This window comes from Homo sapiens, chromosome 12 (assembly GCF_000001405.40).
Source record: "Homo sapiens chromosome 12, GRCh38.p14 Primary Assembly".
Lineage (NCBI taxonomy): Eukaryota > Metazoa > Chordata > Mammalia > Primates > Hominidae > Homo > Homo sapiens.
In genome coordinates this window covers 113,957,312-113,981,582 of record NC_000012.12, presented here as the reverse complement: position 1 = coordinate 113,981,582, position 24,271 = coordinate 113,957,312, and the positions used below count along the sequence as shown (strand labels likewise).

The window sequence follows — 24,271 nt, the reverse complement described above, 5'->3', positions numbered from 1 at the left end:
TCAGCTCACTGCATCCTCCACATCCCAGGTTCTAGTAATCCTCCCACCTCAGCCTCCCAAGTAGCTGGGACTACAGGTGTGTTTCACCACACCTGGCTAATTTTTGTATTGTTTGTAGAGACTGGGTTTTACCATGTTGGCCAGGCTGGCCTCGAACTCCTGACCTCAAGCTATCTGCCCACCTTGGCCTCCCAAAGTGCTGGGATTACAAGCATGAGCAACCACACCTGGCTCCATCTCCTTCGTGTGTCAAATCTCCCTCTGCCTCCCCCTGTAAGGGTACATGTGATGGCATTTAGGGATAATCTCTCATCCCAAGAGCCTTAACTTCATCACATCTGCAAAGACCTTCCCCCTTTTTTTGAGGGAGTGCATATTTTGCAAGGGGCCATTTCTCAGCCTACCGTGACTCCCACTGTTGCAGGTTCCTGGTGCCCTATGACCTCTTGGCATTTCCTTATCCTGGCCCCACCTTCATAGAAGTAGCTGCAAAACCTCAGTGGCCTCTTCCTTGCATGGGACCCTCATGAGCTCAGTTTCCCTGCCCAGCCAGACAGCTCCTTCTTGCTGTCTGTATTGAGGCGCCTCTGCCTTAACTTCCTCCTGGTTCAAATCTATATATTTATTTATGCAGAAATATTTATTGACCAACTACAGCTGGGCGCTCTGTTGAGCAGGGTTCTTCCAGTAAAAAGGCCGAATTCTGTTTCCCCACAGGGGCAAAATCAGGAATAAGCTCCATCCATTGTGTACCAGGCCAGCTTGGGCACATGTCTCTCGCTGTTGTCAAAGTCCCAGCTCTCCTAATTCAGCCTCCTAAGGATTTTTCGCCTTGCTTCTAAGGCTCCGCACGGGCTTATCCACGATCCTTTGGCGTCCCCTGCTGGTAGCTATATAGAATTGTAGGCAGTTTTTCTAATACCCTCACAAAGATAGCTGAGTTAAGATGCCTCTCGCCTAATAAGAAAAAGAGGAAAGGAGATGAGAAGTGTGGACTGGCAATTACAAAGAATACTAGGAGGCAAAAATGTAACGCCAGAAGAGGCATAGACTCCAGCTATTCAATGCATGGCATAGTGGATACAATGCAGATTCTGAATCTCTGTTCACTGCTTCCTGGCTGAGTGAGCCCAGGTAAGTCACTTCACCTCTCTGTGCTTGAATTTCTTCATCTGTCATAATTCTACCTACATTACTGGGTTGCTGTGAGGTTGAAATGAGCTAGTCTGTTTTAACCAGTACCTGGCACAACAAAATACAATTTTGTTATTACTGCCATTGGCATTGTGCTAAGCAGCATAAATATATTCTCTCTAATCCTCACCACGACCCTGGAAGAAGGCATTACTGGTCCTGCTTTGCAAATGAGGAATGAGGTTCAGAGAGGGTGACTGACTTACCCAGGGTCACACAGCATGAAGTGTCAGAGATGGGATTTGGACTCGGGTCTCTCTACCTCCTATGTTTCTGCTCTCTCCAGGGCTCCATGTCATCATCAAGGATGAGTTACTTCATGGCTGTGACTTTCCAGGGCTCCCCTCAGCAGTAGAATGGAAGAGGACAACTGGAGAGATGGTGACGCTGCTTACTTCAAGAAAAAAGCCAAGAGGGGTAGCAGGCAGGCACAGCCCGTGGTTGAAGAGGAGGACTTTCCACTCATTTCAAAGCAGAAACTAGACTTGGACACGACCTTGGAGAAGCATAGCCCCTTCTCCTCCAAGATGGTGCCTATGAAGGTGAAGAACTTGTCCCATAATGAGTATATCAGTCATTGTGATGGCAACAATGATGATAATGATGAATTATAGGAGTATGCCTTTTTTTTTTTTTTTGAGACCGAGTTTTATTCTTGTCACCCAGGCTGGAGTGCAGTGATGCGATCTCGGCTCACATCAACCTCCACCTCCCAGGTTCAAGCCATTCTCATGCCTCAGCCTCCCAGGTATCTACAGCCATGTGCCAACACATCTGGCTAATTTTTGTATTTTTAGTAGAGACAGGATTTCGCCGTGTTGGCCAGGTTGGTCTCAAACTCCTGGCCTCAGGTGATCTGCCTGCCTCAGCCTCCCAAAGTGCTGGGATTACAGGAGTGAGCCACCATGCCCAGCTTGAGTGTGCCTTTTAATGTCAGTCTTTCTGACTAGACTATAAGCCTCCTAAGGACAAGGAACATGTCTGTCCTGACCACTGCTATATTCTCAGTTCCTGGAACAGGGTCTGGCACGGAGCAGGTGCTCAGGAACTATGTGAATAATAAGTGAGTGAATGAATGATCATGTCTGCCTCCCTGAAGAGAGCTCCCTGTCTAGTTGAACCATAATCAAATTTAGTGATGGGGCTGGTGTCGTGGCTGACATCTCTAATGCCAGAACTTTGGGAAGCCGAGTTGGGTGGATCATTTGAGCCCAGGAGTTTGAGACCAGCCAGGGCAACCTGTAGAAACCCCATCTCTACAAAACTTGTTTTAAAAATCAGCTGAGTGTGGTGGAGTGCACCTGTGGTCCCCGCTACTTGGGATGCTGAGGTGGGAGAATCACCTGAGCCCAGGAAGTCGAGGCTACAGTGAGCCGTGATTGTGCCACTGCACTCCAGCCTGGGTGAGAGAATTAGACCCTGACTCAAAAAAAAAAAAAAAAGAGCTCTCTTTCATTTATTTTTTTTCTGGCAAACCATTCCTTCAACTGAACTCTCTTTTTAAGCCAGACCTTGATGATTCTCTGTATGTGTGAAGGAGGTATCAGCCCACAGCACCACTGCAAAATTTAAAAAGGAAAGACAATGATTCTGATTTTAATTCCATCCCATCCCCAGCACACTGCCTGGGTCCCCACTGAGCATCATAGCCAGCCCCAATTAAAGCGGCACTGGAATTTGCAGCCTCCAGAGCCTGGGATAGGACCCTCGTTGGCTTGTCTTCTCAGAGTGAATTTAGCTTTTTCCCAGCCGTAGTCTGTTTGGTGAATGATTTGTTGTTTCTGCTCCTTCCAGGTGAATATTTCTGTTTCACTGCCAAGAGAAGGAGGGGCCCCCACATCTCTAATGTTGGGCCCCCAGCAGGGCCCACCAGGGCCAAGGCTCAGCTGCCACCTGCCACAGGTGAACTGCCTGGTCTCCATGCAGATGTGGCTGAAGCTAGTGCACACCTGGTCTCCTGTTTCCAATCATCCTGGCCACTTGGATTCTCCCTTGAGGCTCCTCTGCAGTTGCCTGGGAATAGGAGGCTGCCCTTCAGAGGGGCTTTTGGGGTGGGTTGTGAAATGCTGGGCTACATTGGTGACACTCAACATAGCAGATGGTGACACCCCAGGGCAACCATCTCTAGCACCCCCCTCCACTGGGTCCACTTCCTGCCCCCTAGGGGTGGTCACACGCAGGGAGGAGCAAAGGGAGCCAAACTTGAACCTGGCCTTGGTCTCTACAATGTGATCTTGGGCAAGTGCTTCCTCCTTTCTGGGCCTCAGTTTCCCTGTATGTCAGCAGATGAGAAGAAGGTTGCCCCAGGACCTACGTATGCCAAAAAAAAAAAATTAACTAAAATGTACCAACTCTGAGCCTTTCTACATACTAACAACATTTTTAAAAACCCATAGATTACTTGTTAATGACAAAAAGAAAAATTTTACAAAAGAGGAACCTGGCAGGCACCCCCTTAACCAAGCCATCAAAGTTACCATCATCAGGCCGGGCGCGGTTGCTCACGCCTGTAATCCTAGCACTTTGGGAGGCCAAGGTGGATGGATCATGAGGTCGAGAGATCGAGACCATCGTGGCCAATATGGTGAAACCTCATCTCTACTAAAAATACAAAAATTAGCTGGGCGTGGTGGCGCATGCCTGTAGTCCCAGCTACTCAGGAGGCTGAGGCAGGAGAATCGCTTGAACCTGGGAGGTGGAGGTTGCAGTGAGATTGCGCCACTGTACTCCAGCCTGGCGACAGAGCGAGACTATGTCTCAGAAAAATAAAATAAAAAATAAAGTCACCATCATCAGTTTTGAGGCAAATTGATGTCACAAGCCTCTCAATCTGGTGCACTGTAAAGGATACAGCACCATGTGAGCCTGCAGAATTGTTGCCAAAAAAGCAAGGTGCAGCCGTGTGCTTTCTTGATGACTTGGAATATACTTTGGCTATTAATACACATCTATAAATACAGAATTACTGAACCCTTCTTTTTTCATTTTCACAATGTCTTTTTAGAGATATCTAATAGACCAGGTGTGGTGGCTTACATTTGTAATCCCACCATTTGGGAGACCAAGGTGGGCAGATCACTTGAGGTCAGGAGTTCAAGACCAGCCTGGCCAATATGGTGAAACCCCACCTCTACTAAAAATGCAAAAATTACCTGTGTGTGGTGGCGCGCACCTGTAATCCCAGCTACTCGGGAAGCTGGGGCAGGAGAATCGCTTGAACCCAGGAGGTGGAGGCTGCAGTGAGCTGAGGTCACATCACTGCACTCCAGCCTGGGCAACAACAACAAAAGAAATATTTAATAAACTATTTTGGAACAGTTTAAGTTCACAGAAGAGTTGTGAAAACCTTACAGAGTTCCCGAATTCCCTGTACCCAGATTTCCTTATTGTCAGCATTGCTCTGGAATGTTTGTCCCAATTAATGAACCAATACTGATACATGACTATTCATTCAGGTCTATGCTCTATTCAGATATTTGTTTGTTTGTATCTAATGTCCTCTTTCTGTCCCAGCATCCCATATTCGGTTTATTCCTTAGGCTCTACTTGGCTGTGACAGTTTCTCAGACTTCTCTTGTTTTCAATGGCCTTGACAGTTTTGAGGGGCACTGCCCAGGGATTTTGAAGGATGTCCTTCAGCAGGGGTTGGTCTGATGTTTTCTCATAATTAGACTTTGGTTATGGTTCCCCGGGGGGATGACCACAGAGGTGAATGGTCATTTCCTATCAAGCATACATACATCAACATGACTTATCACTGTTGATCTTGACCTTGACCACCTGGCTAAGGTCATGTTTCTCAGATTTCTCCACCATAAAGCTACTCTTCTCCCTCCTTTTCTGTAGTGTAGTCTCTGGAAGTCATGATGCACAGCCCACACATAAGGCTGGGAAGTGATGTTCCTTCTTCTTCTTTTTTTTTTTTTTTTTTTGAGAGAGGGTCTCACTCTATTGCCCAGGCTGGAGTATAGGGGTGAGACCATCGCTCACTGCAGCCTCAACCTCCTGGGCTCAAGCAATCCTCCCACCTCAGCCCCACAAGTAGCTGGGACTACAGGTGCACACCGCCACACTTGGCTAATTTTCCATTTTTTGTAGAGATGGGATCTTGCCATGTTGCCCCGGCTGGTCTCCTGGGCCCAAGCAATCCTCCCGCCTTGGCATCCCAGAGAGCTAGGATTACAAGCTGTGAGCCACCATGCCCAGCCTTGAGGGACAAGTATTATCATAAATGATTTGAAATTCTCAATTTATCTATCCTCCATTTTATTTTCTATTACTTATTTATGTCACTGGACTTATGAATATTTATTTTATACTTTGGGTTATAATCCAATACTACTTTATTTATTTATTTATTTATTTTGAGACGGAGTTTCGCTCTTTCGCTCAGGCTAGAGTACAGTGGTGCGATCTCGGCTCACTGCAACCTCCACCTCCCAGGTTCAAGCAATTCTCCTGCCTTAGCCTCCCGAGTAGCTGGGATTACAGGCGCCCGCTACCATGCCTGGCTAATTTTTATATTTTTAGTAGAGACGGTGTTTCACCATGTTGGCCAGGCTGCTCTCAAACTCCCGACTTCAGGTGATTGGCCCGTCTCGGCCTCCCAAAGGGCTGGGATTACAGGCTTGAGCCACAGTGCCCGGCCATATTATTTATTTTGTTACTCAAAATATTCCAGCCTTGGACACTGGAAGCCCTTTCAGTTGGCTCTTGTGTCCCATTAGGGAAAAAATTTTGTTTTGAGCTCGTTCTTACTTTTTGGCATTACAAGATACTCCAGGTTCACCTTGTGTATTCCCTGCCCCAGCCCTAGAAATAGCCATTACTCCAAATAGCCCTGGTCCTTTTTATTAAAGAATGGATTTGAAATCGAGGCTTGAGCATTGCTTCATTCTTTTCTTAACATCTACATGATATTTTATCCATTGTCTCATCGGTTCTCTGTTGATGGGTATTTCGGCTGTTGCCCATCCTTGGTGATTGCAAACAATGTGCAATAAATATTAATGTGTCCGCATAGCTATATGATACATTTCTACAAGTCCTCCCCAGTGCCTCTGAACCATGCCCAGAAGGGACAGAAGGATTGGGGCAAGAGAGCAACAGCTTTCTCCCTATTACCCCTCACCCTGAACAAAGCTGAATTCTCAGTTCCTGTGCACATTTTCACCTCTTGAAACTGTTGTCCTCACCCTGCCCATCTCATGCCAAGCAGGGAAAGTTTCCTTCTCCTTTCTCTCCCAACCCCCAACCCTCACCCAAAATCTCTCTTGCATTGCAGCTATGGTTACCCATCGACTCAATTCCTCAAGGTTTGGTCAATAAAGGGTCAGAAAACAATTCAAACCAAAGGTCTTGCCTCAGAGGGTCTGGTTGGGCACAGGGTTGGGTGCCAGGGACACCCAGTGCATAAATCAGAGCAATCTCTGCTTTCATGGATAATGCTGCTACTGGGGGAGACCAACAAACAGGCACATAAAAAGTAAGAAATGCCAGGTCATAATAACACGATGAAAAAATGGACTAGGCCAGGCTCACACCTGTAATCCCACCACTTTGGGAGGCCGAGGCGGGTGGATCACGAGGTCAAGAGATCGAGACCACCCTGGCCAAAATGGTGAAACCCCATCTCTGCTAAAAATATAAAAATTAGCCGGTGTGGTGGCATGCGCCTGTAGTCTCAGCTACTCAGGAGGCCAGGACAGGAGAATCGCTCGAACCCTGGAGGCGGAGGTTGCAGTGAGCCAAGATCGTGCCACTGAACTCCAGCCTGGCAACAGAGCTAGACACTCTGTCTCAAAAAAAAAAGAAAGAAAAGAAAGAAAGAAAGAAAGAAAGAAAGAAAGAAAGAAAGAAAGAAAGAAAGAAAGAAAGAAAGAAAGAGAAAGAAGAAAGAAAGAAAGAAAGAAAGAAAGAAAGAAAGAAAGAAAGAAAGAAAGAAAGAAAGAAAGAAAAAGAAAACAGAAAAAAATGGACTATGGGGGATGAGAGGGATGGGGTAGAATGGAATGGTTGGTGCCCTTTCAGAGATGGTGGCCAGGGAAGGCTTTTCTGGGAAGATGAACTTTGATCAGACACCTGGGGGAAGTGACAGAGGGGACCCATGGAGGGGGAAAGGTGCTCTAGGCAGAGAACATGGCAGATTGCAAAGGTCTCGGGGCAGAATCCTGCAGGAGGGGGTTGAGGATGAGCAGGGAGGCTAGAAGGGATGAAGCAAAGTCAGAGGCTGAGGTGACGCCTTCTTCTTTGGGTCAGGCCCTGGGGGCACTGGGAGGCTTAGGCAGAGAAGGCACTGGTCAGTCTGGCTTTTGTTTTAACAAGACCGTAGAAGTAAAAGACAGAACAAGGGGACCAATGAGGGGGCTGCTGGAATAACATGGGCAAGATGATAGGTTTGGTGGGCTGAATAACGTCCACCAGTGGTGTCTACGTCCTAATCCCGGGAACCTGTAAGTACATCGCCTTCTACAGCAAAGGGACTTTTTCAGTTGATAAATTAAGGATTTTGAGGTGAGGAGATGACCCTGGATTATCCAGGTGAGCCCAGTGTAGTGACAAAGGTGCAGCAGGAGGGTCAGAGTGAAGAGGAGATGTGACCACAGCCCAGAGGGTCAAAGAGAGAACTTTGAGGATGGAGGGAGGAGCCGCGAGCTAAGGGAAACAGGTTCTCCCCTGCAGCCTCCAGAGGGAAGCAGCCCTGCCACCGCCCCCCTACCCCGCCACCCTCGGCTTTAGCGTTTCTGCTGTCCAGACTGCAGATCATAAATGTGTGTGGTTTTAAGCCACTAAATTTGGGGTTGTTACAGCAGCTACAGGAAATGAATACAATATGGGCTTGGACTAGCCTGATAGCGGTGGAGACGGAAAAGATGATGTGTTTGGCAAATCTTTAAAAAATGGGGTTGGCAGAACTTGATGATGGGTTAGACATAGGCTGATGAGTGAGGGGTGGGCTGAGGATGACCCCTAGGTTTCTAGCCACAGCATCTGGGTGCCCATTGGTCCCACTCATGGGGACCAACTGACATAGGAAGGAAATCAAGTTTGCTTTCCTCTCCTGTCTCCATTCTCTTCTAGAACCTTCTAGAATCCCTCCCCAATAACTGGCCTTTCTCCAGCTGAGAAGTTAATTCCCTCAGGGACCAGGCACTACTTCTCTCACGTCCTCAAGTACGTACACTTATGCTTTTTGTTTTGTTTTGTTTTTGAGGTAGGATCTCCCTCTGTTGCCCAGGCTGGAGTGTGGTGGCACAATTATAGCTCACTGCTGCCTCAACTTCCTGGGCTCAGGTGATCCTCCCACTTCAGCTTCCCAAGTAGCTGGGTCTACAGGCGTGCGCCACCACACTTTACTAATTTTTGTACTTTTTTGTAGACAGGATCTCACTATGTTGCCCAGGCTGGTCTTGAATTCCTGGGCTCAAGGGATCCTCCTATCTCAGCCTCCCAAAGAAGTACGCTGATGAAGCCCAGGGATGGAGCTGGCTTAGACGGGACTGAATTTTTTAAACATCTAGGTATAATTGGAGAGCCCAACCTGGTGGCATCTAGGTGCCCCTGGATTAGTTCTGATGGGAGAAAAAAGGAGGCAGGAGACAAAACAGGAAGGCTGGAGAGCAGGAAGACTAATAATAATGTTATAATGTGGCTGCTTATTAAATGCACGGGAATATATGGCCTGAGAATGGTCTCTCCTCCCCACATGTGGCAACCATATTTTCTGGACCCAGAATTGGGATGTGGGGATTCGTAACTGGCATTCCATTTTCTTTTAATACCTTTGAAAGACCTTCTGATTTGTGAATTTTTTTAGGGCAGGCTACATTGAATTGTATGTTTTAATAAAGGCAGTTCATGAAAATAATAAAAGTATGTGAAACTAGGACTGGCTGGGCAACATTGGCCCTCTTGTAAAACTAATATCTCAGAGCTGCCTCATAAAGCCTGCCCCAGCCCACCCTAACGAGGGTCACGGTTTAGAGCAAACAACCCCCCAGTTGTCATTTAATTCATATCACATATCAATAAATATCTGTTAAATATCACAGTGTGCAGGAAACAACCCTCCAGTTATTATTTAATTAAAGACATAACAATAAATATCTGTTGACTTTGAAACACAGTGACCCGTAAGTCATCGACTCCAGGCTTGAGGGTACATTTTTACATGCATATGTGTTTTAATTGAATAGACAGTCTACACAAGACAGAGAGAGGGTGAAATCTGATCTTCAGAGTAGACTACTACAAAGCAAGCAGATCTCATGGGTCGAACAGCAGCCCCCAAAAGATATGCCTACATCCTAATCCTCAAAACCTGTGAATGTGACTCTTTTTGGAAAAAGGGTCTATGCAGATATAATCACCTATGGATCTCAAGATGAGATTGACCTGGAGTTACAGTGGGTCCTAAGCTTAATGGCAGGTGTCCTGCTAAGAGGAAGCATAGGGAGGTGGATTTGACTCAGACACCAGAGTGGAGAAGGTCATGTGAAAACAGAGGCAGAGACGGACGCTATGCAGCCACAAGCCAAGGAATACCTACCGCCACCAGAAACTGGAGGAGACAAAAAAGGATCCTTCCACTTTGAGCCTTTGGAGAGACCACTGCGCTGCTGACACCTTGATTTTAAATTCCTGGCCTCCAGAACTGCAAGAGAATACACTTCTGTTGTTTGAAGCCATCCAGTTTCTGGTAATTTGATATAGAAGCCCTAGAAAATCAATACACCCCATAATCCTGTAACTTAAAACTATAGCTCATGGGGTGGCTTCCTGGTTTTGTAAATAAAGTTTTATTGGAACACGGCCACAGATGTTAGCTCTGGATGTGTTCAAAATACAGTAGCAGGATGCAGAAGTTGCATTAGAGACCACATAGTGAAATACTCTCTGACTTTTTAAGAAAAAGTTTGCCAATCTCTGATTTAAAACATATACAGACCGGGCATGGTGGCGTGCACCTGTGATCCCAGCACTTTGGGAGGCCAAAGCGAGAGGATCACTTGAGCCCAGAAATTTGAGACCAGCCTGGGCAACAAAGCCAGACCCTGTCTCTACAAAAAATTTAAAAATTAGCTGGGTGTGGTAATGCATGCATGTAGTCCCACCCACTTCGGAGGCTGAGGAAGGAGGATCACTTGTGCTCAGGAGATCAAGGCAGCAGTAAGGCCTGATCACACCACAGCACTCCAGTCTGGGCAACAGAGCAAGACCTTGTCTCAAAAAAAAAAAAAAAAAAAAAAAAAAGGCCAGACACAGTCACTCATGCCTGTAATCCAAGCACTTTGGGAGGCCAAGGCAGGTGGATCACTTGAGGTCTGGAATTTGAGACCAGCCTGGCCAACACAGTGAAACCCATCTGTAATAAAAATACAAACAATTAGCCAGGCACGGTGGTGTGCACCTATAATCCCAGTTACCGTCTCAAAAAAAAAAAAAGACAAAACCCAAAATAAATACATAAAGATTTACTGGGCTCCCTACAATTTCACCCCTCCAAAGCCATCCTGCAGAAATGCCCACAATTAATATACATGCTTGTTGACTTTACCCTATGGTTAAGTATAAATATATGCAGATGTAGTTTATACATGATTAACATTTTAATGTATTAAAAATAATAGGTAATTTTTTCATAATGAAATATCAAAATTATAAAAGGTTACTCAAGGTAAAGGACATTTCCATCCATCCGTATACTCACTTCCTCGGTCCCCTCCCCAGAAGCAACTGCTGTTACCACTTCCTCATGTATCTTTTGAGATCGCCTTTGCTTACATAAATCATATATAGTGTCCCCTCCAAATTCCTATGTTGGAGTCTTAACTTTTCATACCTCACAAAGTGATGTTATTTGGAAATAGAGTGTTTACAGAGGTAACTATATTAAAATGAGGTCATTAGAATTAGCTTTAATCCAATGTCTTTTAAAATGGGGAAGTTTGAACATGAACTCATGGACACAGGGAGACTGTCATGTGGAGATGAAGGCTGAGATCGGGGTGACATGTCTACAGGCCAAAGAGTGTCAAAGATTGCCAGCACACCACCAGAAGTGAGACAGGGAGGAACAGATTCAACCTCACGGCTCTCAGAAGGAACCGGCGCTGCCAACACCTTCATCTCGAACTTCTAGCCTTCAGAACTGCAAGACAATACATTTGGAAATTTACGACTACCCTGGCCTACAAACATGACAAGTATCTATGTATCCTCACCCATCTCCCTCCTTTTTTTGTGTGTGTGTTTTGTTTTTACCTAAGTGAAAGCATACATAATACATTATTTAGTATATTGCTGGTTTTCACTTAACAATATATTTTGGAGATTGTCCCATGTCCCATGTGCTAGTTCTTCTCTAACAGCCCATCTCCCATTCCCTGAGCCTGCTCCTCCACTTTGCTCTGTGCCCCAGATGCAATCTGTGTGCACTGCAACATCTGTGATCATGCCTCCAGCTTCCCATTGGTTCGGCCAAGGGGAGGCTCCAGTAGGAAACTGCAGTTGGGAAGAGAAAGAGGGGACAGTGTATTTATCCCCGACACACACACACCTGTGGTTCCACAGTGGCTGTATCTCTCTATAGCTCTAGTCCTTAAAGTACGTCCCTCTTCCATGGCTCCTGGCATCACTGAAGCTCAGGAATGACATGTCCTACTCTGCCCTTCAGCCCCAGGGGTGGTGATAGCTCCCCACTGTTGCCAGGCCCTGGGGTTTGGCCATCCTTTGTTGGTTCCCTTAACCCTTCCTGTATTCATTTGCTGCAGGTGCTGTCTCAAATTACCACAAATTAGATGGCATAACAATGCAAAGTTATTCTCTCACATTTCTGGAGGCCAGAATCCCCCAAAGCACCAGCAGGGCCATGCTCCCTCCAAAACCTCCAAGGGAGAACGCTTCCTTGCTTCTTTCAGCTTCTGGTGGCTCCAGGTCTTCGTTGACTTGTGACTGCATCACTCCAGACTCTACCTCCACCTACACATGACGTTCTCTGTGTGTCCTTTAAAAGGACATGTGTCATTGGATTTAGGGTCTACCAGGATAATTCAGGATGATCTCATTTTGAGACCCTTAAGTACATTTGCAAAGACCCTTGATATGGTTTGGCTGTGTCCCCACCAAATCTCATCTTGAATTGTAGCTCCCATAATCCCCACGTGTCCTGGGAGGGACCCAGTGGGAGATAATTGAATTATGGGGGTGGTTTCCCCATACTGTTTTCGTGGTAGTGAATAAGTCTCACGAGATCTGATGGTTTTATAAGGGGAAAGCCTTTCACTTGGTTCTCATTCTCTCTTTGCCTGCCACCAGGTAAGACATCCCTTGCTCTTCCACCATGATTGTGAGGCCTCCCCAGCCATGTGGAACTGTGAGTCCATTAAATCTCTTTCCTTTATAAATTACCCAGTCTCAGGTATGTCTTCATTAGCAGCGTGAGAACAAACTAATACAACACTTTTTTGCAAATAAAGTCACATTTACAGCTTCCAGGGGTCAGGATGCCCCCAGTGTGTGTGGTGGTGAGGGGACAGGGGATCATTCATCCCACTACACTGCCCACCCTTCTGTAAATAGCTTTTTGTCCAGATTTGCTTTTGTTAAATCCTTTTGAGTATACCTCTGTGTCCTGCTGACTGATGCATTTCCTTCAAAAACATTTATAGCTACATACCTACCGTTTTTTAACAACTGCATAGAATTCTGTTGAATGGACAGACCTTAATTTACAATTAGCATTTAATGAACTCCTATTACCTGTCTCCTCCTGGTGCCCAGTGTGATGCTTTGCAAAGATGGATCTAAGGATGCCCCTATGGCAACATAATGTAGAAAGAACAAGTGGCCTCATCTATAACTCTGAACCTACACTGTGCGCTCCTCACCAGCGAGTTCTGTAGGTTTATGCTGTGGCAGATGCATGAGCTCCCTGCATTTGGGGCTCAGTAGGAAAGAGGCATATTCGAGGATGCCATGTTTGAGCTGGTCTTAGAGAGGGGATGGGAATGGGTTCAGAAAGATATTCCAGTGGCCAAAAGCACATGAAAGATGCTGTTTCATTAGTTATCGGGGAAATGCAAATCAAAACATTGAGTCACCACTGTACACCCACTAGAGTGGCTATGATTATAAAGACCCAATAACAAACACTGGAGGAGATGTGGAGATATTTGAACCTTCATATACCGCTGGTAGGAATATAAAATGGGGAAGCCACTTTGGATAACAGGTTAGCAGGTTCTAAAAAGGTTAAGCATAGAGTTACCATATGATCAGGCAATCCTACTCCTAGGAATATATCCAAGAGAAATAAGAACATATGCCCACACAGGAACTTACAGGTAAATGTTCACGGCAAGATTATTCACAGTAGCCACAAAGCGGAAACAACCCAAATGTCCATCATCAACTGATGAATAAATAAAATGTAATACATCCATATATGTAATACTATTCAGCAAAAAAAGTGTGGTGGCTCACGTCTGTAATCCCAGCACTTTGAAAGTTCAAGGCAGGTGGATTGCTTGAGCCCAGGAGTTCAAGACCAGCCTGGGCAACATGTTGAAACCTCGCCTCTACCAAAAAATTACCAAAAAAAAAAAATTAGCCAGGCATGGTGGCATGTGCCTGTAGTCCCAGCTGCTCAGGAGGCTGAGGTGGGAGGATGGCTTGAGCCTGGGAGGCGGAGGTTGCAGTGAGCTGAGATTGTGCCACTGCACTCCAGTCGGGGTGACAGAGCCCGACCCTGTCTCAAATAAATAAACAGATAAATAAAGTGCTGATTCATGCTGCAACATGGAAGAACTTTGAAAACATTATGCTAAGTGAAAGAAGTCAATTACAAAAGACTACATATTGTATTATTCCATTTACATGAAATGTCCATAACAGACAAATCCATAGAGACGGAAAGTAGATTAGTGGTTATCAGAGGGAAGGGAGAGGGAGGAATTGGAAGGTTATAGCTAAAGGGTGTGGTGTTTCTTTGGGGGTAATGAAAATGTCCTAGCATTGATTGTGGTGATGGCTGCACACCTCTGTAAATATAGTCAGCACCATTGAATTGTGCACTTTAAGTGGGTGAATTGCATGGTTTGTGATAAAGCTGTTAACAATAAGAAGGGGGGACGGAATGTCTTTTAGGTGAAGGAAATTGCAGAAGCTTGGCAGCAACGTCCAGTGCAGCTGAGGCACTGTGGGGAAACAGAAAGGAAATACCGTCATTTAAGAGTGAAAATAGGGGTTTTCATAGGATGTCTCCATCCAAGAGTAGGTACCGAGAATGCTCAGAGAAGCAATAGGAAAATAACATCCCTTTCACGTTCTCACCTCCTTAACCCCTAGCATAATAAAGAATTATTCCCATTTTATAGAAGTAGACACAAAGGCTCAGAGGCCATTTTGGCCAAGATCTCTCAGCTAGAAGATTGGCCAGCTGAGAGTTCCAAACATTAGGAAGGGAGGCAAAATGCTTGTGGGGCTGGGGTTGAAGGCGTAGAGACTCATTGTAGGGCCCTAGGCAGTCCCTAGCTCGAATCTGACTTTCCAATTCATAGTTATAAGACTTTGAGCAAGCTGCTTTACACGCACGATTCCCAGTTTATCTGCCTGCAAAATGAGAGCGTTTATTTCCAACATGTTCATTCCAAGTATTTACACAAAAGGCTCAATACTTGATTTGTGTTGGCTGGCAATCTCTCTAAACTTCACTTTCCCCATTTCTACGAGGAAGGCAAGGGTCCCTAATCTTGCCCCCGTTCTCAGGGGAGTCCTAAGGCTCAATAATAAAAATAAAATAAGAAAAAGGAGAGAACGCGATTGCCCGGTTGGCGCGACCCTTAACACCGAGCTAAACCGGCGCATGTTAGGGACCGGCGCCCCCTGCCGCCTTCTCCGCTGCATTGGCGTCTCACAGAATCCGCCCAAGGCCCTGCGCCTGCGCAAAATGCAAGCGCCCAGGCCCACCCCTTGTGGGGTGTGACCTCCCTGAGTAGTTTTGGATTAGCCACGCCTACTTCCGGACAGGTCAGGCCAAGGTCTCAGCCACGTGACTGTGTTCCGGCTCGGTAAAGATGGCGGCGCCCAGGGCGGTAGCGTGAAACTTGGTGGAAGACGCTGACCAGTCGTGTTGGAATCAAAACAGCGGGGACCCTGCGCCATGTCGCGACTGATCGTGAAGAATCTCCCGAATGGGGTGAGTGCAGAGGCAGGACTTGGGAATCTGAAATGAGACCAGCCGGGAGCTGTGAGGTAGGGAAGAGATGCCTGGAGGTGATCGAAGAATTTTTGCTCTGGGGCAGGACTCCGGGCCAATTCTGAACTCAAAGGGGGCGGGATCCTGGGCTTATCCCCATTTGATCCCGAGGAAAGAGGAATAGTGACTGCTTACGGTTTCACGGCCGGTTGTTTGGTACCTGACTCCTAACACACCTCTTCTCGGGGAGATGACAACTCCCACCTTGTGGCGAATACCCTGCTCCCACAACCTCTTTCATTCGATCACTGTTTTTTAGTTGTTGACCCGGGACATGGTCCGACACTGTATTTATATTCCTCTCCCAGTCTGGAAACTGTTGGGGAAGACATGGGGAATATTAATCTGCGGACCTGCGTTCCAATTCCCACTCCCATCCTTAGGGCAAGTAGGAATACGGAGTGGGTAAAGGGCTTTACAGCATTTATCCAGTAAGTGGGGAGTGGTGACCCAGCCATACTTTTTTGTTTCCCTGGAGCCCAGCGCAGAACCCGACACGTGGTAGGCAAAATAGGTGAATGTACGTAATATTAGATGATTAGATGCGGTGGGCTCGAATGGATCATCCTTTTTTCTCTCTCTCGCTGTTTTTTGTTCTGTTTTGTTTTTTTGTTTTTAAATGGATTACTGCTCCTTCCATCAGGTTAGACAGTGTCTCTTGATGCCTCGCTTTGTGGGATGAGGATTTTTAGCGTAGCTGCACTTCCTTTCCCTCCCAAATTCAGCTTTGTTGTGTTTCAAGTGTAGTTGATTCTCTTATCATTGTTTGTCTTATCTCTTTTTTTTCTCTCTCTTTCATGGCTTTTTTTGGTTTTGTTTTTTGTTTTTTTCTTTTTTTGTTTTTTTTTTTTAAACGGAGTCTGGCTCTGTCTCCCAGGCTGGACTGCGGTGGAGCAATCTCGGCAGTCTCGGCTCACTGCAACTTTTGCCTCCCGGGTTCTAGCGATGCTCCTGCCTCAGCCTCCCAAGTAGCTGGGACTACAGACACGCGCCACCAAGCCCGACTAATTTTTTTATTTTTAGTAGAGACATGGGGTTTCGCCATGTTGGACAAGTTGGTCTCGAACTCCTGACCTCAGGTGATCCACCGCCTCGGCCTCCCAAAGTGCTGGGATTACAGGCGTGAGCCACTGCACCTGGCCCCCATTTCTGTTCTAATGTTGTGAGTTTTTTCCTTTCCTTTTTTTTTTTTCATTTGTCAGGTGGGACAAAGGAACTTTGTAACACACAGTTTTCAAAATTCAAACAGTATAGTAGTGTATAACATGAGTAGCAAAGTCTTTGCTCTGTCCTACCTTCCCTCTCTGTCCAGGAGTAACCATCTTCATTGATTTGTTTTTGGGACTCCTCACATGTATCTCTGTATATTTGAGGAGTGTACTTTCCTCCTTTTGACCTGCCTGCCCCAGTGACTATCTGCTAGGCCTCAACTGTGAAAAATAAGGAATTTAGATCATCTGTTCCTCCTCTCCAGTGTCTGTAATATTCTTGTTTTTAATTATCCTGTTATAATCTCTGAGTAGTATACTTAAAAATATCTATTACTCATCCATCCATCAGGTTAGACATGTCTCTTGATGCCTTGCTTTGTGCGATGAGGATTTTTAGCGTGGCTGCACTTCCTTTTCTTCCCAAATTCAGCTTTGTTGCACTTCACAGTGTAGTTGACTCTCTTATCATTGTTTGTCTTATCTCATGAATGAAAGAATAATAAAAACAAGGGCAGTTGCAGCTGACACTTGGAGAGTTTACTGTGTGCCAGGCACTGTTCCAGGTGCTTTAGGTAAAGTAACATTTAATCCTCACCATATCCCTGTGAGGTAAGTTTTATTTTTACGCCCATTTTAAAGGTAAAGAAACCAAGATACAGCGAGGTACAGGGATTTGCCTGAGGTCACACACTGGTGTAATTTATAGAGCAGGGATTGAATTGAGCAATCTTTAGTTTAGGGATTGAATTGAGGAAATAATTAGTAGTGAGTACTTGTGATATTGCTGACACTGTAGATAGAGGTGGATAAGCCTGTGTCCTTATTTTTAATGGGACTTGCAGGCTAGCAGAAAAGAGAGGCACCAGATCATTACGATGCAAGGTGCATCACTGACATGTGAACCGAGTGCTGTGGGAGCACAGTGAGGGTTGGTTATCTCGTCCATCTAAGGCATCTAAGAAAGGCCTCCTGGAATAGGAGATGATTGAACTGAGAATGAGGAGTTAGCCAGGGCCTGTCTTGGGAAATATCACCCAGAGGGGACAACCAAAGTAAAACCTCGGAAGTGAGAAGGCTGTGAGAAATTTGTCAAAGCGTGGTGCTGAAGAGGTTGGTCAGGGCAGATCTTGAAGAATTGCATGTTTTCCTTTAGGTGCTCGTCCTTGAGACTTTGGTGCCAGAAAGTCACCGAAAGGTTTTTGGCAAAGGAATGATGGATTCAGACTTGAGCCAGGTCTCTCCCAGGCACTGAGGAATTGAATTCACTGTCTTATATTTCTGAATTGAGTCACAAACCTTGATTCTGTAGGCCTTGGGCAGATCATTTATCCCTTATGAGTTTCATTTTCTCTATAAAATGTGGACAAAAATTCCTAACTCACAGTGTGATTGAGATTTTGATTAGATCAGTTAGTAAGAAGCTACCTCAGAAAATGTCATCTTCTGGCTGGACTGCCAAGGCCTCTAGCTTCTTGCATTTTCAAACTTATTTTGGCTGTTCGTGGGGCCCTGAATGTCCCCTCAACTCCACTACCACACACACAAATATCCCAGTATCTGCTTAGAAAACTGAGTTGTGAGGGTAGCCTGGCTGCAGTGAAGATGGTGAGAAGCCAGGAGCCTGTTTTCCATAGTGTGGGGCTTCTTGACCAAATTATAATAATAGTGTGTTAGTTTTTTAGTGCAGCTATAGCAAATTAGCACAAACTTAGTGGCTTAAACAATCCAGACAATCCTTATCTTACAGTTTTGCAGGTCAGAAATCCTAAAATCAAGGCTTTGGCAGGGCTGCAGTCCTTCTGGAAGCTCTGTGGGAATATCTGTCCCTTTGCCTTTTTTCAGCTTCTAGAAGCACCTGCCTTCCTTGGTTCATAGCTATATACTCCATATTTGGAGCCAATAGCATAGCATCTTCCAATCTTTCTGTTTCCATCTTCTCTGATCTTCCCGCCTCCCTCTCATAAGGACCCTTGAGGTGACATTGGACCTGGCTGCATAATCCAGATCATCTCCCCATCTCCATATCAGTCACACCTGACAAGTCCCTTTTGCCTTGTAAGGTAACATATCCACAGTTTCCAGGGATTAGGATGTGGGCATCTTTTGGGGGGGCTTTATTAACAAAGATATATATAGCTTACCATGCCTGTTCATTCTTTCATTTATTCCTACAAGTATTTATTAGGTATCTACTATGTAGCAGACGTAATACTGCTTCTGTAATTGGTCTTATCCTCATAGGAGCCCCATAGGGTAGGAAGATGTCATTTGCAGCCATTATGAGTCATGATTTCCACATCAGTGAGTGGTTAAGGGACTTTCTCAAGGCCACACAACTCGTGCTAGAGTCAGAGCTGGAACCTGTTGTAACTAGAAAAGTACACTCTGCCCCTCTTCATCTAAGGCCACCCTTGGAGAATCTCGTGGCCTCAGGTTTCCAGCCCATTTTGTCCCCTTGCTCTGGGGACTTTCCAGTTCGTCTCTCATTCCTTTCCCTCTGTCCTAGATGAAGGAGGAGCGTTTCAGGCAGCTGTTTGCCGCCTTCGGCACGCTGACAGACTGCAGCCTGAAGTTCACCAAAGATGGCAAGTTCCGCAAGTTTGGTTTTATTGGCTTCAAGTCCGAGGAAGAGGCCCAGAAGGCACAGAAGCATTTCAACAAGAGCTTCATCGACACATCCCGGATCACAGTGAGTGGGCAGGAGTCTCACCCTTACCTTCCTGTCAAGTGTGACGTTGTTTGATCTTTCACTCAGCACTTGAGTTCAAAGACCGTCCCTCTTCACTTTGTGATGTCTTTGGTTTTCTTCCTCACCGATTCACACACTTTCATGTGCATACAAATCACCTGAGAGCTTATTATAACAGCTTCCTGGGCCCGTCCCCAGAGCATCTGATTCAGTGCATGGAGTCAGGACCCAAGAATTCACACATCCAACAAGCCCTCAGGTGACGACCATGCTGCTGGTCTGAGGCCCACACCTTGAGAACCACAGCTCTACCTCATCCATTCACTCATGCATTTAGCAAGCACTCAATGATGCTGGGAGTTTAGAGAAAAAGGTGATGCCTCAGCCCCTGTCCTCATGGAGCCTGCTGTCTCTGGGCAGGCAGGGGGCTGACAGGTCAGCAGGCTGCTTTGGCTCAGTGACATCAGTGCTATGATAGGGTGAGCCCCAGGGACTGTGGGAGAACAAAGATCTATAGCCGGACCAGGGAGGAGTCAGGAAAGCTTCCTGGAGGAGTGGGCTCCACTCAGGTCACTCGTGTATTTAGTGACTTCGTAAAAACATCTCTAATGCTTTGTTGAGAAGGAAAAAACAGATGATGGATAAATATATATATGTCTCGTGATCCTATATAGACACAATCGTATTCCTCTATCCATACATATATGATAAATGCATAGAAGGCCATAGGATAGGATTTGTACCAAAATACTAATCATTCCTCTCCATGAGTGATAGGAATTGGAGTACATCTTTTTTAACTTCCATTGTACTTTTGTATATTATTTGAATTTTGTACCGTGAGCATGTCATTATTATAGAGATAACAAGCCTATTTTGGAAGTGTGCACAAAAGGGATTGTAACTGGCCAGGTGTGGTGGCTCCTGCCTATAATACAAGCACTTTGGGAGGCTGAGGTGGGAGGATCACTTGAAGCCAGGAGTTCAAGACCAGCCTGTGCAACATAGCAAGACTGCGTCTTTACAAAAATAAAAAAAAAAATTAGCCGGGCATGGTGACATGTGCCTGGAGTCCTAGGTATTCAGAAGGCTGAGACAAGAGGATCACTTGAGCCCAAGAGTTTGAGGCTGCAGTGAGCTATGATCATGCCACTGCAGTCCAGCCTGGGCAACGGAGTGAGACCCTGTGTCTTAAAAAGGATTGCAACCAGATGGCAGCTCCTTCCCCCAGGGGCAGTGGTTGGTTGACCAGCGTCAGCCTTAACTGTGGCTGGGAGTGGCTTGCGGTGGTGGATGCCCCAGTAACCAGCGCTCTCAAAGTCCTCTCAGAGGAGTGTATTGGAGGTTTTAGGGCCTGAATAGTGCGTCAGCTCAGGCTGGGTCTCCAGTACTCTTCCGTCCCTCCAGTGGTCACCCCAGTGCCCCTATCACCCTAGAATTGTTCTCTGGAGCCAGATGAGCTTACTTTATGATAATTAACCCAGGGCAGTGTGGGGTAACTGTGGTAGCCACTGCCCCACATTACCCTGCCCAGAGCCTGGTTGAGTGCTTGGCCCAGGTCATCTCATGCCATCCTCACAGCCGCCCGGTAGAGTGGATGGTTAAGAACTCAGGTTCCAGAGCCCAGAGACCCCCTGAGTTCCAGTCTTCACTCTGTCACTTATTACCTGGGTAAGCCAGGGAAATTGACTTCTTGATGCTCCAATTTCTTGATCTGAATTGTAGAAAGTCATAGCTGTCACTGACATGAGAGGCTCGGTGTATCAGTACTTGCAGAGCACTTCAGACAGTACCTGGCATGTGGAGTTCCTCAGTAAGTGGCAGCTATTACCATTACAGTATTACAGACTCATAATGATAGACTGTTAGAGTATTGTATTCTAGACTTGAAGGGAAAGAAAGCCCAGGCTAAGGGGTGACGTGTAATCTACTTCAGCAAACTCAGCTAGGCAGTGACAGTTGTCTGAAATGCCCGAGCTCCCAGGTGCCGAAGGGCAGCACCCAACGCCTGGGTGCCATGGCAGGTGTGAAAATCACTCTCTTTCCCACACAGGTGGAGTTCTGCAAGTCATTCGGGGACCCGGCCAAACCCAGAGCCTGGAGCAAACATGCCCAGAAACCAAGCCAGCCCAAGCAGCCTCCAAAAGACTCTACTACTCCAGAAATTAAGAAAGTATGTAAAGGGTCACTCTAGCCTCTGTCCCCACTGCCAGCAGGGTAGTCACTCACTTTTGGTTCCCAAAGATGGGCCCTCCCAGGTCAGTGCAGTTCTGTTTCCCAGCTCTCTTCATCTGTGTGACCCTCACTCTCTGTGCCTTCTGTTTTCAGGATGAGAAGAAGAAAAAGGTGGCAGGTCAACTGGAGAAGGTGAGTCTGTCCTGTTGCCCAAGGAGGAGAGAGGGTGGGCAGCAGGTGGAAGAGGGTGGAGACTGGAGAGGGTAGAGGCTGGGAGAGGGTGGAGGCTAGGAGACCGTAGAGGCTGGAGAGGGTGGAGGCTAGGAAAGGGAAGAGGCTGGAGAGGGTGGACACTGGGAGAGGGAAGAGGCTGGAGAGGATGGAGGCTGGCCCTGGCAAGCAGAGCTGTGCCTCTGGTCTCCCCTGGCCTTGTCTTCTTGTCCTCTTAGTTTTGTCTAGTGAGGAGTCAACTCTGCCTTCCTCAGAACTGACCCAGCTGAACCTCGGGGTCCTCCAGAGAATGGGGGAAATTAGCTTGAGGGATCTTCTCACCCTCTTAAGAGTTAGAAAGATCAAGCCCCACCTGAGCCTTCTCTGCCTCTTCCTCTCTCTTTTTCCCGTGTCCCTGCCGCCCGGGTTCTGGTGCCACCAGCTGAAGGAGGATACAGAGTTCCAGGAGTTTCTGTCAGTTCATCAGAGGCGGGCGCAGGCAGCCACTTGGGCGAATGATGGCCTGGATGCTGAGCCCTCGAAAGGGAAGAGCAAGCCGGCCAGTGACTACCTGAACTTCGACTCCGATTCTGGGCAGGAGAGTGAGGAGGAGGGAGCCGGGGAGGACCTGGAAGGTGAGGGCATGGGGACTGTGTGCTCCATGCGCACGGACCTGTGCTTGCCATTGGGCTAACCGGCACTGGGGGCCCCTCTGTGCAGACTCTAGGAGTCAGGTGAGCCCTTGAGCTCTCCATTGGGGGTGATGATCCCTCTGCAGGTGCATCTGTCTTCACTGATCCTAGTTGTGTATTCAGTCAGTCAGTCAACAAATATTTCTTGAGCACCTATTATCTGCCAGGCATACTTCAGGCATTGGGACCATGTTGATAAGCAAAAGACAGAAGGGTTTATTCCCCTATGGAGCTGTGATTATGGTTGTGGAGAGAAACAATAAGCAAATAAGTCCACTGTTGGGTATATCATAGGATGATGAATGCTACAGAGAGAAAGCAGGAAAGGCGACAGGAGAATTATGAGGGAAGGCCTCCCTGAGGAGGTGAGGGAGTGAGCCTTTGTCCTCAGAAGGGGTTTGTGGTGTGGGGGAGGCCTGGTGGGCAAGAAAACAGTTGCAACACAGGAGGGTACGTGCTTGGTGGAGAACTGGGCATCTATTTGGGTCTAAAGGTGAGAAGATGTACATTTAGTGCAGTTATGCCTGGTAACGTTTCTGCACTAAGTTCACATCCGAGGAACTCAGGGGACTTAGTGGGACACGGTAGGGGAGGGGAGAGGAAAGGGGTTCCAGTCAAGGGAACAGCATCGCAGAGACACAGAGGAAAGGAAAGTGCATGGGCTTGAGGGGCTCAATGTGGGTTGGGATGGCTTGAGCAGGAGGAGACAGTGGAAGAAGCCCACGCAGCCAGCCCTGATGAGGAGCCTGGATTTCACCCTGAGCATTCAGAAACCCCTGGAGGGTATTAAGCAGAGACTGACCGTCCTGTACCTACTCTGTAAAGTGTCACAGAGGCTGCCGTGTAGAGGACTAGGAAGACATGGCTGGTGGCAGGGAGCCAGGAGCTCAATGTGTGGCACAGAGAATATCAAAGCTGCAGTAGCCCTGCCCCGTTTTGGTATTGCTAATCAGAGGACTTATGGGGGATGCTGGGCACAGGGGCCATGGACACGGTGGGCATGGTGCCTCAGGCCTCTCACTAGGAGGACCATCTACCATTTGCTACCTCTGACCTCTGGTTTGCTCATAGCTGTCGCTGATCCCAGCTTCCCTGTTTTTCCAGAAGAGGCAAGCCTCGAACCAAAGGCAGCTGTGCAGAAGGAGCTGTCGGACATGGATTACCTGAAATCCAAGATGGTGAAGGCTGGGTCGTCCTCTTCCTCGGAGGAAGAGGAAAGTGAAGATGAAGCCGTGCACTGTGATGAAGGGAGTGAGGCCGAGGAAGAGGATTCCTCCGCCACCCCAGTCCTGCAGGAAAGAGACAGCAAGGGTGCAGGCCAAGAGCAAGGGATGCCAGCTGGGAAAAAGAGACCACCGGAGGCCAGAGCCGAGGTGCGTGTGTATCCCGCAGGTGATGAGGGAGGAGGTGCGCTCTCCTGCTTGCCCGTGGTCCCCACAGCTCCTCTGTTAGGAGAGCGGAATGTTGGGGAAAGACGCAGCTCTGCAGTCCAAAGCCTTCCCGATCTTGGCCCTGCCGCTTGCTCGCCGTGTGTTCTTTCTGCGTTTCTTTTCTGTTTTTATTTTTATTTTATTTTATTTTATTTTTTGAGACAGAGTCTCACTCTGTCACCCAGGCTGGAGTGCGGTGGTGCAATCTCAGCTCACTGCAACCTCCGCCTCCTGGGTTCAAGTGATTCTTCTGCCTCAGCCTCCTGAGTAGCTGGGATTATAGTCACACCCAGCTAATTTTTTGTATTTTTAGTCGAAATGGGGTTTTGTCATGTTAGCCAGGCTGGTCTCAAACTCCTGACCTCAAGTGATCCACTCATCTCAGCCTCCCAAAGTGCTGGGATTATAGGCAT

At 47.0% G+C, this 24,271-nt stretch overlaps 1 protein-coding gene across 7 annotated transcripts in view, besides 6 other annotated features; it reads left to right on the top strand.

The window, feature by feature from the left end:
* Positions 14,952–15,021: an enhancer, noted in NCBI's record as "active region_7077". NCBI's record gives its function as "activates an Ori minimal core promoter by ATAC-STARR-seq in GM12878 lymphoblastoid cells {active_cell/tissue: GM12878}" and the evidence as "EXISTENCE:reporter gene assay evidence [ECO:0000049][PMID:35858748]".
* Positions 14,952–15,907: a biological region, named in NCBI's record as "H3K27ac-H3K4me1 hESC enhancer GRCh37_chr12:114403481-114404408".
* Positions 14,980–15,907: an enhancer, noted in NCBI's record as "H3K27ac-H3K4me1 hESC enhancer chr12:114403481-114404408 (GRCh37/hg19 assembly coordinates)". NCBI's record gives its function as "activates a minimal SCP1, AML or CMV promoter by ChIP-STARR-seq in primed H9 embryonic stem cells {active_cell/tissue: H9 hESC(primed)}" and the evidence as "EXISTENCE:reporter gene assay evidence [ECO:0000049][PMID:30033119]".
* The window catches only part of RBM19 (RNA binding motif protein 19), a 149,586-nt gene continuing 140,572 nt past the window's right edge, over positions 15,258–24,271 (top strand). For all 7 annotated transcript variants that reach the window (XR_001748932.2, XR_944848.3, NM_001146699.2 and 4 more), the window contains exons 1-6: positions 15,258–15,391; positions 19,169–19,351; positions 21,405–21,524; positions 21,680–21,718; positions 22,179–22,371; positions 23,533–23,801. Coding sequence is in view for 5 of the 7 variants with exons in the window: in NM_001146699.2 (NP_001140171.1) it covers positions 15,356–15,391; positions 19,169–19,351; positions 21,405–21,524; positions 21,680–21,718; positions 22,179–22,371; positions 23,533–23,801 (840 nt within the window). In the remaining 2 variants the exon portion in view is untranslated. The remainder of the gene's footprint in view (positions 15,392–19,168; positions 19,352–21,404; positions 21,525–21,679; positions 21,719–22,178; positions 22,372–23,532; positions 23,802–24,271) is intronic.
* Positions 15,908–16,836: an enhancer, noted in NCBI's record as "H3K27ac-H3K4me1 hESC enhancer chr12:114402552-114403480 (GRCh37/hg19 assembly coordinates)". NCBI's record gives its function as "activates a minimal SCP1, AML or CMV promoter by ChIP-STARR-seq in primed H9 embryonic stem cells {active_cell/tissue: H9 hESC(primed)}" and the evidence as "EXISTENCE:reporter gene assay evidence [ECO:0000049][PMID:30033119]".
* Positions 18,807–18,856: an enhancer, noted in NCBI's record as "active region_7076". NCBI's record gives its function as "activates an Ori minimal core promoter by ATAC-STARR-seq in GM12878 lymphoblastoid cells {active_cell/tissue: GM12878}" and the evidence as "EXISTENCE:reporter gene assay evidence [ECO:0000049][PMID:35858748]".
* Positions 18,997–19,046: an enhancer, noted in NCBI's record as "active region_7075". NCBI's record gives its function as "activates an Ori minimal core promoter by ATAC-STARR-seq in GM12878 lymphoblastoid cells {active_cell/tissue: GM12878}" and the evidence as "EXISTENCE:reporter gene assay evidence [ECO:0000049][PMID:35858748]".